Below are 17260 nucleotides of genomic sequence, written 5' to 3' on the forward strand. Positions count from 1 at the left end.
TTAAGCCAATTTCAGGATTTGAGATGATTTAAAACCAGACTACAGGCCTGTGAGGGTCATTATAACTTCTGATTCACCCTTAATCTAGATGCAGCTCTTTGGGTCTCAGCGCAAGGTGTAGGGGTTTTACCAGACCCCCTTGTCTCTTTGAGGCTTCTCAATTTTCGTCCTGTTTAGTGTGTACTAAATTTGATAAAAGCCTTGTGGGAAGATGGTCTCAAATGCTAGACTCATCTCTCTAGGTGTCAGTCTTAATCTAGAATCTCAGCCCGGTAATTCTTAATTGCCTTGATAGCTCCCATGGACTTGATGGGGGTGTGGAAATTGAGAGAGAGAGAGAGTTATAAAAGTAATACATATTTATTGTTTAAAAAGACTAACGGGCAGTGCCATGAAATTCACAATGAAAAGAAAGAGAAACCAGCAACGCTTTGCAGTACATTTCCTTTTCCATTTTTCAAAGACAGCTACTTTCAAATCATCTGTTTCTTTTGGTATTTACCTTCATATTTCCAAGCATTGTACATATATTACTTCAGTATAATTGAATGCTATAAAAATTATGCAGATGAGTTCTGCTTCTGGAAAGGATACATAAAAGGTAAAATTTTTGACACCATGAGTGTCTGAGCATGCCTTTATTATACTGTTACCTTTGACTAATATTTTAGCTGAGTGTAAAATGCTAGCACAAATATTATTTTTCCTTGAAGGTATTTCCCATTGTTTTCTCAATTCCAGACTGCTGTTGATAAGACTGATTCAGTTGTCACTTATTGTTTGCATGTGATGTGTCTCTATCCTCTTCACCTTGATTACCCACTCTTTTAATATTTTTCCCTTTCGCCAACCATGCTGGAATTCTGTGATAAGCTTGGTGTAGTGCTGTTTTCGTTCTTGTGCTGGGCCTTTGTGGGGGATTCTTTTGATCTAGAATGCATATCCTTTAGTTTGAGAAACTTTTCTTTGATTATTTCTTTAATAATATTTTCTCCATTTTGTGTATTCCTGTATTCTTTAACTTCTGTTGATTGGCTGTTGGATCTCCTGGTCTGAGCTTCTGATGTTCTTGCCTTTTGTCTCCTGTTGTCCGTCTTCTGGTTCTTCTCTTCTACTACCAGTGAGCTTTACTCAACTTCATTGTCTGATATTTCTGTAGAAAATTTTTTTACTTATGTCATCTTTTCTTAATTTCCAAGAGCTCTTTAGGATCCTATTAAAAAATAATCTTCTGATCATGTTGCGTGAATACAGTATCTTTTTTTTTTTTTTTTTTGGAGATGGAGTCTTGCTGTGTTACCCAGGCTGGAGTGCAATGGCACAATCTTGGCTCACTGTAACCGCCACCTCCCGGGTTGAAGTGATTCTCCTGCCTCAGCCTCCCGAGTTGCTGAGACTACAGGCACGAACCTCCACGCTTGGCTAATTTTTGTATTTTTAGTAGAGACAGGGTTTTTCCATGTTGGCCAGGCTAGTCTTAAATTTCTGACCTCATGATCCACCTGCCTCGGCCTCCCAAAGTTCTGGGATTACAGGTGTGAACCACCACACCCAGTTTCCTTTGGTTTTAATTAGCTGAATTTTTCCAACTTTTTGAATGATTGCACTTATTTTCAACCTTCTTACTTTGTATTTATGCATTTAAGATTACAGGCGTCCGCCACCTTGCACCCGGATAATTTTTGTATTTTTAGTAGAGACAAGGTTTCACCAGGTTGGCTAGGCTGGTCTCAAACTGCTGACCTCAGGTGATCCACCTGCCTCGGCCTCCCAAAGTGCTGGGATTACAGGCATGAGCCACCATGCCCAGCCATGGATACAGTATCTTAAGATATGAGGTATTTTTAATTTTGGTTAAATATGTGTTCTGTTTTCTCTGTTGCCTCTGAATTTCATTTGGTTTTATTTTTTTGATGTAGAAAGCTTTTCTGAAATGTCCATTATTATCTGACTCTTTCCATCTTTAAAAATGTGGTGCCTTCTCATGGCCACATTTTCTCTTCTGTCCTCTTTATCCTTGCAGGGCTCCAACTCTATTCTTTCAGTAACACTTCAGAGGGTTTTTAGAGGGAGTAGATGTGAACTTGTGTGTATGATTCACCGTTGTAACTGGAACAGATATGTTTTAAGCAGCGTTATGCATTCCTTTGAGTGTTTCTCTGTCAGATGTTGAGAAACAGAATTGCTGGGGTAGAGGTTTTTTGATCAGTTGTAGTTAAGTTGTGAATGAACAGTAATGTACATTTTGTTTTCTGCATTTTGTCTACAGGTTTCAAAAACTTTTAACAAACAAGTAACTCACGTTATCTTCAAAGATGGCTACCAGAGCACTTGGGACAAAGCTCAGAAGAGAGGCGTAAAGCTCGTTTCGGTGCTCTGGGTGGAAAAGTAAGCAGTTTCTCTCTTACTTTTTTTCCTTAAGTATCTAGTATTGAAAATGTGTGGAGATATTTTTCACAGATCGCAGAACCAGATAAAGTTTGATTTTCATCTTTTCTCTGCCTCTTACCTCACCTAGTAATTTGAAATCCTCCAGCCTCAATTTCTGTGGTTCAAAAATGGTCATGCTATAATACCTAACTCTGCCTAGGGGGAAAAGGAGCCTGCAGGTCCTGAAGCTGGGTATGCAAGGTGGACTTAGGAAGCAAGAGGGAATGTGATGAAGCAGATTGTGTTAGTCAGCAAGCGCTGCTGTAACAAAGGACCACAGAATGGGTCGCTTGAGCAACAGAAAAGGACTTTCTCACAACTCTGGAGGCAGGAAGTCCAGTATCAAGTTGTCAACAGGGTTGGTATCTTCTTTTTTTTTTGAGACAAAGTCTTGCTCTGTCATCCAAGCTAGAGTGCAGTAGCTGGATCTTGGGTCACTGCAGCCTCAGCCTCCTAGGCTCAAGTGATTCTTATGCCTCAGCCTCCCAAGTAGCTGGGATTCATCTCAACCTTTGCCTCCTGGGCTCAAGTGATTCTCCTGCTTCTGCCTCCCGAGTAGCTGGGATTACAGGCACGCACCACCATGCCTGGCTAATTTTTGCATTTTTGGTAGAGACGGGGTTTTATCATGTTGGCCAGGCTGGTTTCAAACTTCTGACCTCAGGTGATCCACCTGCCTCGGCCTCCCAAAGTGCTAGGATTACAGGTGTGAGCCACCGTGCGCGGCCCACACAGTTTTGATTACAGTAAATTTGTAGTAAGTTTTGAAATTGGGAAGTACGAGTCCTGTAACTTGTTTTTCATTTTCAAGATTGTTTGGCTATTTTGATTTGAGTTCCTTGCTAAGATTGTTTGGCTGTCTTGATTGGGTTCCTTGCATTTCTATATGAATTTTATGATCAGTGTGTCAATTTATTCAAAAACAAAAAAGGCAGCTGGGATTTGGTAGGATTGTATTGAATCTCTAATTAGGGAAGTGTTCATAATATTTAATCTTTCAGTCCATGAAAATGGGATGTGTTTCTTTTTCAGGTCTCAAATTTCCTTCAGTGACACTTTCTAGTTTTCAGTGTACAAGTTTTTTACCCCCTAGGTTAAATTTATTCCTAACTTTTTTGTTCATTTTCATGTGAATGAAATTGTTTTCTTAATTTTTTTAAGTTGTTAGCTGTTAGTGTATAGAAATGCAGGTGATTGTTGTATGTTGATCTTATACCCTGCAAATTTGCTTAACTTGTTTATTAGTTCTAAATATATTTGTGGGTTCCTTAGCATTTTCTATATGCAATGTTGTGTAATTTTGTAAATAGAGATAGATTTACTTCTTCATTTCTAGTCTGGCCGCATGTTATGTCATGTCATGTCATGTCATGTCATGTCATGTCATGTTATTTGTTCTGGCCAGAACCTCCAGCACACTGTTGAATAGAAGTGGTGAGAATGGACGTCCTTGTGTTGTTGCTCATCTTTGGAGAAAAGCTTTCAGTATTTCATTATTTCGTATGATGGTAACTGTGGTTTGTGTAAATGTCCTTTTTTAGGCTGAGGACGTTCCCATTCCCTTCTGTTGCAGGTTGTTTGTTTGTTTCTGATTATTAAAGGAAGTTAGATATGGTTGTCAGATGTTTTTCTGCATGACTGATCATCATGTGATTTTTGTCCTTCATTATATTAATGTGGTGTAATTGAGGGGTTTTGTGTGTTGAAGCAACCTTGCAGTCCTAGGATAAATCCTACTTGGTCATGTTGTATACGTTGTCATCTTGCCTTTTTAATTGTTGGAACAGGCCGGATGCGGTGGCTCACACCTGTAATTCCAGCACTTTGGGAGGCCGAGGGGGGTGGATCACCTGAGATTAGGAGTTTGAGACCAGCCTGATCAATATGGTAAAACCCTATCTCTATTAAAAATACAAAAATTAGCCAGTCATGTTGGCGTGTGCCTATAGTCCCAGCTACTCGGGAGATTGAGACAGGAGAATCACTTGAACCTGGGAGACGGAGGTTGCAGTGAACCAAGACCACGCCATTGCACTTTAGCCTGGGCGACAAGAGCGGGGAAAAAAAAAAAAGAGTAAGGGGTCCTTCTCTGGCTTTTGTCAAGATTTTCTCATTATCTTTCACTTTCAGAAATTTAAGTGTCTCGATATGGTTTTTTAAAATTTATTTTGTTTAGATTTTACAGAACTTGTTGAATGTGTAGTTGCCTGTGTTTCTACATATGATTCGTTTTTGGCCATTATTTCTTCATCTATCTTTTCTGCCCCGTTTCCTCCTCATTTTTTCTGATTAGCTGTATATCTTTTTCTAATTAGCTGTATACCAGGGATTGGTAAAGTTTTCTGTAAAGGGACAGATAGTCAATATTTTAGGCTTTGCGGGCCATATGGTCTCTGCTCAACAGCTCAGCTCTCTTGTGGTGTGAAAGGCGTAATAGAAAATAAGTAAACAAATGCTTGTGTCTGTGTGGCAGCAAACTTTACTTATAAGTCTGGCAGGAAGCCAGGTAGTTTCCCAATCCTTTCTGTGTAATACACCTTTTAAACGTTTGCATTTGTCCATAGTGCTCTCCTTCTTCTTCATTATTGTTCAGTCTTTTTTTTTCTCCTCAGATTGATCTTTTTTCAAGTTCATTGACTTTTTTCTCCATCAAATCCATTCTGCTACTTAGTACCTTTATTTGAGATATTTTTGATTTCTAACATTTCTAGTTGGTTTTTGTATACATTCTTTTTATTTCGGTTTCATGTGAGATTTCTCACCTTTGGTTTTCCTGTCTTCGGTTATGAGTGTATTTTCTATTACCTCGATGAGTGTAGTTATAAATAGTTGTCTTAATGACCTTGTCTGATAATTTTGAGGTTGGTATCTGTTTTGTTTTTGTTTTTCTTTGATAGTGTGTCACATTTTTCTGGCTCTTCATATGGCAAATAATTTGAGGTTGTATTTTGCACGTTGTAAATACTATGTAGACTCTGGATTCTTTTCTATTGTCGCAAAGAGCATGAGGTTTTTGTTTTAGCAAGCAGTTAACTTGTCGTTAAAATGAAACGCACACTGTCATTATGTGGGCAGTTGCTTAGATGCGCCCTTTAAGCCTCAGGTGCAGGCTGATTTGTTTGCCTCAAACACATGTTGTTCAGGGGTCAGCCAGAGACTTGAACTTCTATACTCAGAATTTGGGGTTTCTCCTATGGTTCTCTTACTTCCTGAGTCCTTACCTCATTTCTCTAGTAGCCCTAGCTGCCCAGTCTCCTTCCCCTGGTCTCTTCAGCGAGAAAGGAGGCCGGAGCTTCTGCTTGAGTGCTTGCTGCGCCACACCAGCTCCCTCAGAGACTGTGGCTGCCTTTAGGGGACAGACAGAAAAAGTGGTGATGCCCAGATTCTTTTGCTTCCTTTTAAAATTTGCCTGTTCTTTCTTTTTCTTTTATTTCCCTCCAGCTTTCAAAGCTCTCACATAGTTGGTTTATTTTATTTTATTTTTCCTGTATTTCCAGGACGTATAGCTTATAGTTCACCTATATTTGTATATTGGTTTGTTAGGCATAAACAGAAATGGAACTTAGTATGTTATTTTTGAAGCATCTGATGCCAGTCTAATTCTTCTTCCCTTCAACATTATTTGATCTTTTTGGAGACTCCTTAGGGATATTTTTTATTTTATCATTTTTTTTTTGAGACGGAGTCTCGCTCTGTCGCCAGGCTGGAGTGCAGTGGCGCGATCTGTGCTCACTGCAACCTCCTACTCCCTGGTTCAGCGATTCTCCTGCCTCAGCCTCCCGAGTAGCTGGGATCACAGGCACGTGCCACCACGCCCAGCTAATTTTTGTATTTTTAGTGGACACGGGGTTTCACCATGTTGGCCAGGATGATCCTGATCTTCTGACCTCGTGATCTGCCTGCCTCAGCCTCCCAAAGTACTGGGATTGTAGGCGTGAGCCACAGCGCCCGGCCAGGATTTTTTTTTTAAGACTCATGGCTTTACTGTAATATGTTTTGAATTGATCATTCCAGTTCTGGCTTGGCCTTTTCAACAGATTCAGGTCTATATTTCTGCAAAAGTTTCTGGGATTATAGTTTTAAATATTCTGCTTCGTTGTTTTGCTTTTCTTCTGGGACTCCAATTATGTTTACGTTGGGCCTGCTTAGCTATCTTTTATTTCAGTCAACTTGACTTCAACCCTTTTATATTTATATACACATACACACACACACACACACACACAGACACACACACACACACACACACACACACACACACACGCATTTTTACCCCAAATACTTATTTGACAGTATTTGTTTTTGTTTTTTGAAGACAGGGTCTTGCTCTGTTGCCGAGGCTGGAATGCAATGACTCAGTTGCAGCTTACTGCAGCCTTGACCTCTAAGGCTCAATCAGTCCTCTCACCCCAGCCCTCCCTAGTGGCTGGGACTGTAGGCATGTGCCACCATGCCCAGCCATTAAAAAATTTTTTTTTTCTTTTTTCTTTTTGAGATGGAGTCTTGCTCTGTGGCCTAGTGCAGTGGCGCAATCTCGGCTCACTGTAAGCTCTGCCTCCCAGGTTCATGCCATTCTCCTGCCTCAGCCTCCCGAGTAGCTGGGACTACAGGCGCCCACCACCACACCTGGCTAATTTTTTTTTTTTTTTTGTATTTTTAGTAGAGATGGGATTTTACCGTGTTAGCCAGGATGGTCTTGATCTCCTGACCTTGTGATCCACCTGCCTTGGCCTCCCAAAGTGCAACCCGGCATTAAAGAATTTTTTTTATAGAGATGGGATCTTACTATGTAGGCCAGGCTGGGCTCAAGTGATCCACTCACTCCAGCCTCTCAAAGTGCTGGGATTACTGGTGTGAGCCACTGCACCCAGCTGATAATATTTGATTCAAGTTCAAGGGTTTTGTTATATTCTTCAGTTTTGTGTTTGCTTTTATTTTAGGGAGTGTGATGGGTTTTCCTCAGCTGAAATGATTTGCTTTTTCTTTGTTTTTTTAAAATAGATTTTTAAAATGGATGTAGTCTATTCTATTTCCATTCATTGCATAGGCCAGGCTTGTGGCCAGAGCGTCCTCTTCTGTCAGTTCTGCTGTCTTGCATAGTTTCTTTTATAGGTGATGCTGGTGAGGGAGGGAGGAGGGAGGGGCTCGTGTATCTCGTTTGCGTTTTGTTTCTATAGGATCCTTAAATGTTTTTCTCTTAGTTTCTTCTTTTTTTCACTGCCATTGGTTCAAGGGCTGCCACTCCCCCCAGAACTGATGTTTTTCAGAGCCTGCCTGTCCTAGTCTTGCTCCCATTCAGACCCCTTCCCTGGAGTGGGTGCTGTGAGCTGTGTGGGTTCTCTGTTGTGGCAGTTGTGCTGGGTGTCCTCTTTCTGAGACTTCTTTTACCTGTGCTTCATGTAAGTTCTCCAGGCTGTACTACTTTTTATGGAGTCTTAAGCGTATTCTCCCCGACTTTCTGCATCCATAGACTTGCAGCTGTGTTGGAATTTGATTATTTTTCTACTTATAGGTCATCTGAATTTGCGCTGTTATCTCCGTGTCAGTGAGAATGTAGGTCATATGTGTCTTTTATTTAAGTTTCTTTTTTATTTTCTGCTTTTTTTTCGGGGAGGGAATGGGGTAAGACTCAGTATCAGCCAGCCATCATTGTTTTCTCTACCTCATCTTCTTATGGAGTCCATTGAAATGGCTTATTGATTTTTATCTCAAAATCGATCTCTCATAGATCTTTATCTCTGCTGTTACAGTCGAGACAAGTATCATGTCTTGCTTCAGTTACTGTAGCAGCCTCATGCCTGTCTGTTTCATTTTGTTTCTTATACATAAGCAAATGTAACCCCTTTTGTTACCAGTGGAAGGTATCCAAGTTACCGGCAGCAAACACGTATGGGTTTGCAGCAACTTCAGTTCTTGCTTCCTCAAAAGAAAGAATTCCACGGAGGAGCATAAGGCAAAAGAAGAGACTGACGCAAGGGTCAGAGCAGGAGCAGAAGTTTATTTAAAAGGCGTCAGAACAGAAAGAAAGGAAAGTACACTGGGAAGAGTCCCAGGCGGGCATGGAGGTCTAATTTGATGTTTAACCTTGATCCTGGGATTTGTAGGCTCGCCCTTTTCCGCAGTTCTTCCCTTAGGGTGGGCTGCCCGCATGCACAGTGCGGGAATTGAGCACAGGCAGCTTGTTTAGGAAGTTGTGTGGGTGCCCATCTGAAGCTTTCTTCCCGTTTCTCCGCCATTTTGTCTCTTAATGTGCATGCCCGGGAAATGGCCTCTCCCTGGCGTCTGCATTCAGTTAACACTTTAGCACAACAGGTGTGGACTGTCAGGAAATGGCCTCTCCCTGGCTCTGGCTGCCAATTTATCACTTTTAGAGAGGCAATGTGATAATTGTTGAGCTATCACCCAACATTCCTAGTGGGTGGTAGAGGCCTCTCCTGCCGGGCTTATGCCTAACTACCTGTAATACTTCAACACATGGATCAGCTTTATCCTTCTGACAAAATGGCTTAGAGTTCAGTGGTCTATAGCAGAGAATGGCCAACTATCATCCCCCAGCCAAATCCACCCTGCCATACTGTTTATTTTTTTTTAATGGCCCATGAGGTAAGAATGGTTAAGAGAAAAAAAAAATTCAAATGTTTACTATTTCATGATATTTACATTATATGAAATTCAATTTTAGTATCCATAAATACCGTTTTATTGGAACACAGGCATGTTCATCTGACGATGTAGTCAGTGGCTGCCTCTGTACTACAGCTGTAGATTTGGATCCTGTGGCAGAGACCTTACGGCCCACGAAGCCTAAGGCATTCACTACTTTCCCCTTTACAGAAGTTTGCTGACCCAGGTCCAGTGTGCTGCATGATGGTCCCCTTCCCTTCCATTGTCAGCTGCTCCCCTCTCCCTTGTTTGCGTCTTCCAAATGCTCTGGGCTTCCACGTCCCCAAGGCTACACTCTTTCTGCCTTTAGTTCTTGGCCTGTGCTGAGAACTCTGCCCCGTCTTCCTGATTCTAAACCCAGTTTTGTAGTCAGCTCCTTTATACATGTTGCATTGCAAGGTCGCTTTATCAGAAGAGCTTCCTCTGTCCCCAGTTCACAGTTCAAGCCCTATTTGTTATTCTCTGTCTCAGCTCCTTTTTTCCTGTGTGTACTATTAAAACTTATTTTGTTCATTTGACTGCTTTATCTGTCTGTGTATCTAATCATGCATTTTGTCTTTCTATTGTAATGTGGATTCCAAGAGCAGCTACCTGTCTGTCTTATTTATGGTTGTGTTTCTAGTAAGTCTAACATTCATCTGGCTCATAGTAGATGCTCAGTAAATATTTGTTCTAACAAATTATGAACAAAGGAAAATTTAGTTAAGTGGCGTAGAGATACTAGAGAAAATATCATGGGGGAAAATGATTTGAAAAAAAACTACATTTTAAAAGTCGTATAGAAATGTGGAGGGGAGAGTGCAGAAACAGAGACCTTTACTAGAAGCTTGAAGTAAATGGAGATGCATGGACAAAATTAAAATAGTAGCCATTTCTGTACCTAATAGGGCCTCTCAGCTAACCCTACAATGGGGATGGTCACTGGTAGTGTGTTCTGCTGAGAGTTAGGGATTCTTACTCTGCTTTGCTGGCCCAGCCCCTGACTCATTCTCTATCCCCTTTCTCTCTCTCTCTATTTCTGCCCACCACTAACCCCAGCCTTTCTCAAGGGGCTCATGCAGACCCCATAATACTTGTAACTTCGTTATCCAAAAGCAAAGTTTTCTTTTTCTTTTCTGGAGACTGAGTCTCACTCTCTTGCCCAAGCTGGAGTGCAGTGGTGCGATCTCGGCTTACTGCAACCTCCGCCTCCTGGGTTCATGCCATTCTCCTGCCTCAGCCTCCCGAGTAGCTGGGACTACCGGAGCCCGCCACCACGCCCGGCTAATTTTTTGTGGTTTTAGTAGAGACGGGGTTTCACTGTGTTAGCCAGGATGGTCTCGATCTCCTGACCTTGTGATCCGCCCTCCTCGGTCTCCCAAAGTGCTAGGATTACAGGCGTGAGCCACTGTGCCCGGCCAATTTTTATATTTTTAGGAGAGACAGGGTTTCACCATGTTGGCCAGGCTGGTTTAACTCCTGACCTCAGGTGATCCGCCCACCTTGGCCTCCCAAAGTGCTAGGATTACAGGTAAGAGCCACCGTGCCTGGCAAAAGCACACTTTTAAGGTCCTCAGAAGCTCAAAAGTGAACTTAATCTTTTGGCATTTTTCTTTTCTTTTCTTTTTTTTTTTTTTTTTGAAACTGAGTCTCGCTCTGTCGCCCAGGCTGGAGTGCAGTGGTGCAATCTTGGCTCACTGCATTCTCCTGCCTCAGCCTCCTGAGTAGCTGGGACTACAGGCGCCCGCCACCACGCCTGGCTAATTTTTTTGTATTTTTAGTAGAGACGGGGTTTCACCGTGTTAGCCAGGATGGTCTCCATCTCCTGATCTTGTGATCCGCCCGCCTCGGCCTCCCAAAGTGCTGGGATTACTGGCATGAGCCCCTGCGCCCGGCCCATACACTTTAGTCAACTTTTTATTACAGGTCATTTTTTTGCCTGTACATGCAGATGCATCCCACTTTATATATATAAGAATATTTTGTAGTAGCTGTCCAGTAATTTATGTAAGCAGTGTCCTATTGGTGATTGAAGTTTTTCATTTCTTAGTTATTTTTTTCAATTAGAAATATTACAGCATTGAGCTTCTGTATGTATTACCTTTTTGCGGGTGATAAATCTTTCCATAGGTTTAAATCCCCAAAGTGGGCTGTTCATTTCTGAGAGTTTACATATTTAAATATGATAGATGCTGCCAAATTATCTTCTGGAAGGAGTGTACTGGTTTCCATTCTCACTGGAATTATCAAAAAAATGCATGTTTCCCAATACCTTTGCTAATGTTGTGAGTTATCAGTTCTTCTTTCTAATTTGTAGAAGAAAAATAATAGTTTTTATTTGCATTTCTCTGACTTTTAGTGAGCTTGAATTTTCTTCAGCAGAGCATAGAGATAAGAGCCAAACTGACCTGCATTTTTTATGTCACGTCTGTCCTTTCTTGGTGAACTGCCTGCCTTTCCAATGCAGTAGCTCATGGTTTCCACTGAAAATGTGAACATTAACTTCATAAGGTCACTAGGTGTCACTAGAATCCCATTCTGTTGGGTTCCTTCTGGGAGTGTTCATTTTAAGATCAGATGGCAATTGATAAAATTCTGACATTTCCTTTGGATGTAGAAATTTTTACCTTGAAGAAAGAATACATAAAGTTGAAATAAAGGTCAGCTTGGCCCCCACTCTAAGTTCTGTTGAAGACAATTTATCATTTTTAAACAACTGCAAACTAACAGCTAGGTGGGGAATACGGTTCACAGGCTTTGTCCTTGCTAGGCTGAGAGTTGGTTGCTGACCGAAGGCCATCACCCCCTGCATTTAGTGTTTGCTGGAAACAGGGACATATTCCTGCATAACCACAACACAGGCCGACATTAGGGGCTTACCACGGCTCCTTTCCTCCCGGAATCCTCAGACTCCATTCCTATCCTACCAGCAGCCAGCTCCACTTCCCGCCTCCTCAGCCTTCTCACCCTGCAGCCATTCCTTAGTCTTTCACTGGCTTTTGTGACTTTGACACTGTTTAAGGTCACTGACCAGTGATAGGAACGTCCCTCAGTTTGGAACGGTCTGATGTGTCCTCCTAATATCACATCAATGTGTAACAGTGGATGTGTAGCCATTTAGGACTGGGCAAATTACTCAACTGCTGGGCTCTAGGTTCCTCCAGTAGCTCCTGAGTTAACTTCCTACGGTTATTTAGTGCTAGACCACAGAAGTTCGCTCTCTGCTGGCAGAGCACTGTTGTGCAGACTTCTCTGAGTCTCCTGTGTTCTTCCTTGTGTGTCAGGGACACACGTGAAGGATAGCGTGCTTCGCGGCTGGAATCTTCAAGGAGATGCCATTCACTTTTTTACCTCACTAACACAGTGCCGTTTACAAAAAAGATTAATGTACTTTTCCTGAATTGACTTACTGACTGGGCCTAGAGAATAAGATACTGGTGCTGGGCAGTTTGGCACAAGAGTAGCATAAAGAATGCAGGATTGGCCCAGGTGAAGGCATCGTCCTAAGGGTAGAATGAGAGTCGGTGGTTCCTGGCCGACCTAGCAGGTGTACTGTGGGAAGTGCTGGAGTGAATCGGCTCTCTGGGGAGAATAAGCTCATCACAGCACGGCTTCCCGAGGAGAACGTTGCTGCTTTGATTTCTGTTGGCTCTGAGGCAGCAGCAGGTCAAATAGTTGGTTCTCTGTTTAGAGACATCTCTTGAAACACTTTTCGTTTTGACCACTAGATGGTGGGATAATGTTATCATTTTACATTTCTGAAGAAAAATAGAAATCTAACTGGAAGCTTTTTTGTCTGTTCAGTAGATTTTGGTTGGACCCCTGGTAAACATGGGTTTCAGTGTAGCAGCTTTAATGTGTTACCACGTGTGCTAAAGCATAGCTGTTGGCATGCAGAACGGCATTACCAGCAGTAAGTGCCACTTACTTCTTCATAGTGAGTGATGATAGTTACACCCAGGTAGATGAAATTCAGGGAGAGCATCTCTGTGCACCTTACATCTTATCACTCTGAAGGATATGTGGTTGGGAAGCTTCTCCCAAAGGAACAGAACACATCTTCCACAACTGTATAACCTATGTCAGGCACACGTTTTCCTGGGTTGAATCAAGCCCTTCCTTAAACTGCTAACTTAAAGAATACTTACTGGTTTTGTAAAGTTTGGCAAATGATCTTCTCTGCTCCTCGGTTTTCTGTGTTGTGCAATAGGAGGCAATGGTAGTGGCTTTTCCAGCACGGTTGGTGTGAGGCTTCTCATGAGCTGGGTGACCTTTGTCCTGATGATGGTGGTGATTTTAATACTGTGTATTTGATAACACGATTATCTAGGGTCTCCTCTACGTCTTTCGTCCAGATGCATCTCAGCCACCCCCCTTTTGCTGTTCCCTTAGGCATAATAGTGGTAAATCGGTGACATTTTGCTTGAGTAAGAAGAAGCTGCTAAAAACTTCTCATGCTTAAAATTGGTAATTAAGGGGACTTTTTAAAAAGAAGCACAGTTAAAAAACATTTCCTTCCTCGTTCTCTTCCACCCGCCTCCCTTTCCCATCACTTTTATTAGATACAGCATTCTGCTCACCCCATTATTGCAGGCTCAGATAGTTGGTTTGTTTTTTTAAAATCAGCTTTATAAAAACATTTACATAAAATAAAATGGACCCATTTTAAGTGTACATTCACGGGTTTTTTGTGTATACCTGTGTCACCACCACAACCAAAATACAGAGCATTTTCATCACCCCAAAATCTCCTTCGTGTCCATTTGCTGTCGGCCTCCCTGCCCCCTCCTCCCACCCCAGGGCAGCCACAGATCTGGTTTCTGTCATTAAAGATTAGTGTCACCAATTCTGGGGCTTCAGATCAGTGGAATCATCCAGCGTGTACTATTTTGTGCCTGACATCACTGAAGGTGATGTTTTTGCGATCTGTCCGTGTTGTTTGTAGCAGTGGTTTCACTTCCTTTTATAGCTGAGTAGTATTCTATTGTAGGCATGTAGCTTGGTGCCACCAGTTGATGGAGATTGGGCTAGTTTGCCATTTTAGGTTATTATGAATAAAGTTACAATGGACATTTACATTTGTGTCTTTGTATGCTTTCATTTCTCTTGGGTCATTACCCAAACTTTTCCAAGGTGGTTATGGCACTGTATATTCCCACCAGCAGTGTTCCTTTCACTCCACGTCTTCACCAATAGTTGAAATTTATCCATCTTTTGAATTTTAGCCATTCAAGCAGATGTGTAGTGGTATTTCATGGTTTTTTTTTTCCCAACATTGTTTTAAGATCTAATTCATATGCTACACAATTTGTCCAATTAAAGTATACAATTCAGTGGTTTTAAATATACAGTCAGGTATTGCTTGACGACAGGGATGCCTTCTGAGAAACGAATAGGTGATTTTGTTGTTGTGGAGACATCACAGTGTGTATTAACACACACCTGCATGACATAGCTACTGCACACCTAGGCTCTGTGGCACAACCTGTTGCTCCTAGGCATAAACCTCTACAGCATGTGCAGTTGTGAAACAGTGGTAAGTATTTGTGTCTCTGAAATACTTAAACATAGAAAAGGTAGAGTAAAAATATGGTATAAAAGATAAAATATGGTACACCTACATAGGGCGTTTACTATGAATTGAGCTCGCTAGACTGGAAGTTGCTGTGGTTGAGTCGTTGAGTGAGTGGTGAGCGAATGTGAAGGCCTAGGACATTACTACTATACAGTACTATGGACTTTATACACGTCATACAGTTAGGTTACACTGGATGTATATTTTTTGGAGCAACTGTATTAACTGATACTATAACGTTTTTTTAAAGACAAGGTCTTGCTTTGTCTCCCAGGCTGGAGTGAAGTGGCACATTTATGGCTCACTGTAGCCTCAACCTCCTAGGCTCAAGCAATCCTCCTGCCTCAGCTTCCTGAGGAGCTGGGACTACAGGCGTGTGCCACTATGCCTGGGTAATTTATTTTTATTTTTATTTTTGTAGAGACGGCATTCTTGCTACGTTGCCCCCACTAGTCTCCAACTCCTGACCTCAAACAGTCCTCCTACCTCCGCCTCCCAAAATGTTGGGATTACACATGGGAGTTATTGCACCCGGCTCCTCCCATAAGTAAATAATCTATCTCTCTGTTACTTGTGGTGGGAGGAAAAGAAAAAAAACACCTAGGTTATGTATAATACCTAATACGAGTACTTCGTAAGTAGTTATTATACTGTTTTTTTTTTTTTTTGAAACGGAGTGTCGCTCTGTCGCCCAGACTGGAGTGCAGTGGCGTGATCTCGGCTCACTGCAACCTCTGCCTCCCAGGTTCAAGCGATTCTCCTGACTCAGCCTCCTGAGTAGCTGGAATTACAGGCACGCACCACCACGCCCGGCTAATTTTTGCATTTTTAGTAGAGACGGGGTTTCCCCATGTTAGCCTGGATGGCCTTGAACCACTGACCTCCCGCCTCAACCTCCCAAAGTGCTGAGATTACAGGTGTGAGCCACCACGCCTCGCCTATACTGTATTTTTTTTTTATTTGGCCTTACTATAGCTTTTTTACATGATAAACTTTGTAATTTTTTAAATTTTTTTACTCTTTTGTAATGCCTTAAAATACATTGTACAACAGTATAAAAATACCTTATATCTTTATCAGCTTTTTCTATGTTTTAATTTTAATTTTTACTTTTAAACTTAAAAAAAACTAGGACACAAAGACACACATTAGCCTGGGCCTACACAGGGTTAGGAACATCAGTATGTCGCTAGGCGATAGGAATTTTTCAGCTCCATTATAATCTTATGTGATCACTGTTGTGTATGTGGTCTGTCATTGACCAAAAGGTTGTTATGCGGCATATAACTGGATTCACAGAGTTGTGCAACCGTCACCACAATTTAAAAACATTTTCGTCACCTCAAAATGAAACTTGCACCCCTTAGCCCTATCCCCTATTCTCCCGCCAGCCAAGGCAGCCTCTAGTAGTCTACTTTCTTTCTCTGTGGATTTTCCTTTTCTGGACATTTCCAATAAGCGGAATCATATGATATACGGCCTTCATGTCTGGCTTCTTTCTCTTAGCATAATGTTTTCAAGGTTCAGTATGTTGTCATCTGTATTAGAATTTCATTTCTTTTTATGGTGGAATCATGTTCCATTGTATGGACACGTGCGCACGCACACACACACACACACACACACAGAAGAACTAAATATTACAAGGCTTATCATGAAAAACAATGGTCTCTTTCTTGACCCTTTTCACCCTCAATTCCTGTTCCCCAGAGGCAGCTCCTTTCACACTTGTGGCTGCTTCTGCAGATAAGCTGTTCGGTGACCTCCATATTTCTAAATACTGTGGCCGTATTGCTGTTTCGGTTTTTCAGTTTCAGGTATTATCTAGTGACTTTCTGATAGGGAAGTGAGAATTTCGTTTTTAATCCGCCCCTCTGAGTGCACCTCACTCCCACATACACTCATCTGCTGTTTGCATGGACACATTCATGTGCAGGCTCTTTCCACTCTTGATTGCAGTGTACATGATACATTTTGGTTAAATCGGTAGTTTATGTTTACATCATTATGAATGTGGAAGTTGTGTGTTAGGCTGAATCTCAGAGTGAACCATGAATATATTTCCTTTCATGGAAAACTTTTTGTTTTCCCTGAGCTTGGCCTGGTGTCCTTTGAGTCCAGAGCTTCTCAGGCTCCACTTATGTGAACATGGACCCAGTGCCCCCATTGGACACAGGGTGGCAGTGAGTGGGCACAGGCAAGGAGAGAAGGAGAGTCGCTCCCTCTTTTCAGCCTTCCACCCTCTGCCCTCTGCACTTTGCCCCCTGCCCCACCCCAGACTGCTGTGGCTTCACCTGCGCCTCCTGCCCTTGAGGGGTTCTGAGCTCCAGGTTCTGAGCTCCAGATGGACTCCTCCCCCGCCCCAGCTGCCAGGCTTGGGTTTCCCTTTTTTTTTTTATTTGTTTGATTTCATTTCCCCAGACAGCTCTTATCTACTCTTTATTTTTGTTGGTTTATGTCTTTTTGTTTTCCTTTACTATCATTTTATTGGGGTTTTGGGGGTCAAGAGAAAAGCATGTGCTAAGTCCACCAGATTTAACCAGAGGTCAAAAACCTTCCATTTTTATTGTCTAAATATTATTCAGTTAAGGATTCCCCCTCCCCATCTTAGTC

The 17260-nt window shown here is 42.0% G+C and overlaps 1 protein-coding gene across 19 annotated transcripts in view, besides 4 other annotated features; it reads left to right on the plus strand.

The window, feature by feature from the left end:
- Positions 1-17260, plus strand: part of MCPH1 (microcephalin 1) — a 241882-nt gene that overhangs the window by 5869 nt on the left and 218753 nt on the right. For all 19 annotated transcript variants that reach the window (NR_136159.2, NM_001322042.2, NM_024596.5 and 16 more), the window contains exon 3: positions 2270-2388. Coding sequence is in view for 18 of the 19 variants with exons in the window: in NM_001322042.2 (NP_001308971.2) it covers positions 2270-2388 (119 nt within the window). In the remaining variant the exon portion in view is untranslated. The remainder of the gene's footprint in view (positions 1-2269; positions 2389-17260) is intronic.
- Positions 5616-5665: an enhancer, noted in NCBI's record as "active region_26946". NCBI's record gives its function as "activates an Ori minimal core promoter by ATAC-STARR-seq in GM12878 lymphoblastoid cells {active_cell/tissue: GM12878}" and the evidence as "EXISTENCE:reporter gene assay evidence [ECO:0000049][PMID:35858748]".
- Positions 16064-16173: an enhancer, noted in NCBI's record as "active region_26947". NCBI's record gives its function as "activates an Ori minimal core promoter by ATAC-STARR-seq in GM12878 lymphoblastoid cells {active_cell/tissue: GM12878}" and the evidence as "EXISTENCE:reporter gene assay evidence [ECO:0000049][PMID:35858748]".
- Positions 16064-16447: a biological region, named in NCBI's record as "Sharpr-MPRA regulatory region 14576".
- Positions 16153-16447: a silencer, noted in NCBI's record as "tiled region #14576; HepG2 Repressive non-DNase unmatched - State 23:Low, and K562 Repressive non-DNase unmatched - State 5:Enh". NCBI's record gives its function as "represses a minimal TATA promoter and a strong SV40 promoter by Sharpr-MPRA in HepG2 and K562 cells {active_cell/tissue: HepG2 | K562}" and the evidence as "EXISTENCE:reporter gene assay evidence [ECO:0000049][PMID:27701403]".

The sequence above is a fragment of the Homo sapiens genome, chromosome 8 (genome assembly GCF_000001405.40).
Source record: "Homo sapiens chromosome 8, GRCh38.p14 Primary Assembly".
NCBI classification, from domain to species: Eukaryota; Metazoa; Chordata; class Mammalia; order Primates; family Hominidae; genus Homo; species Homo sapiens.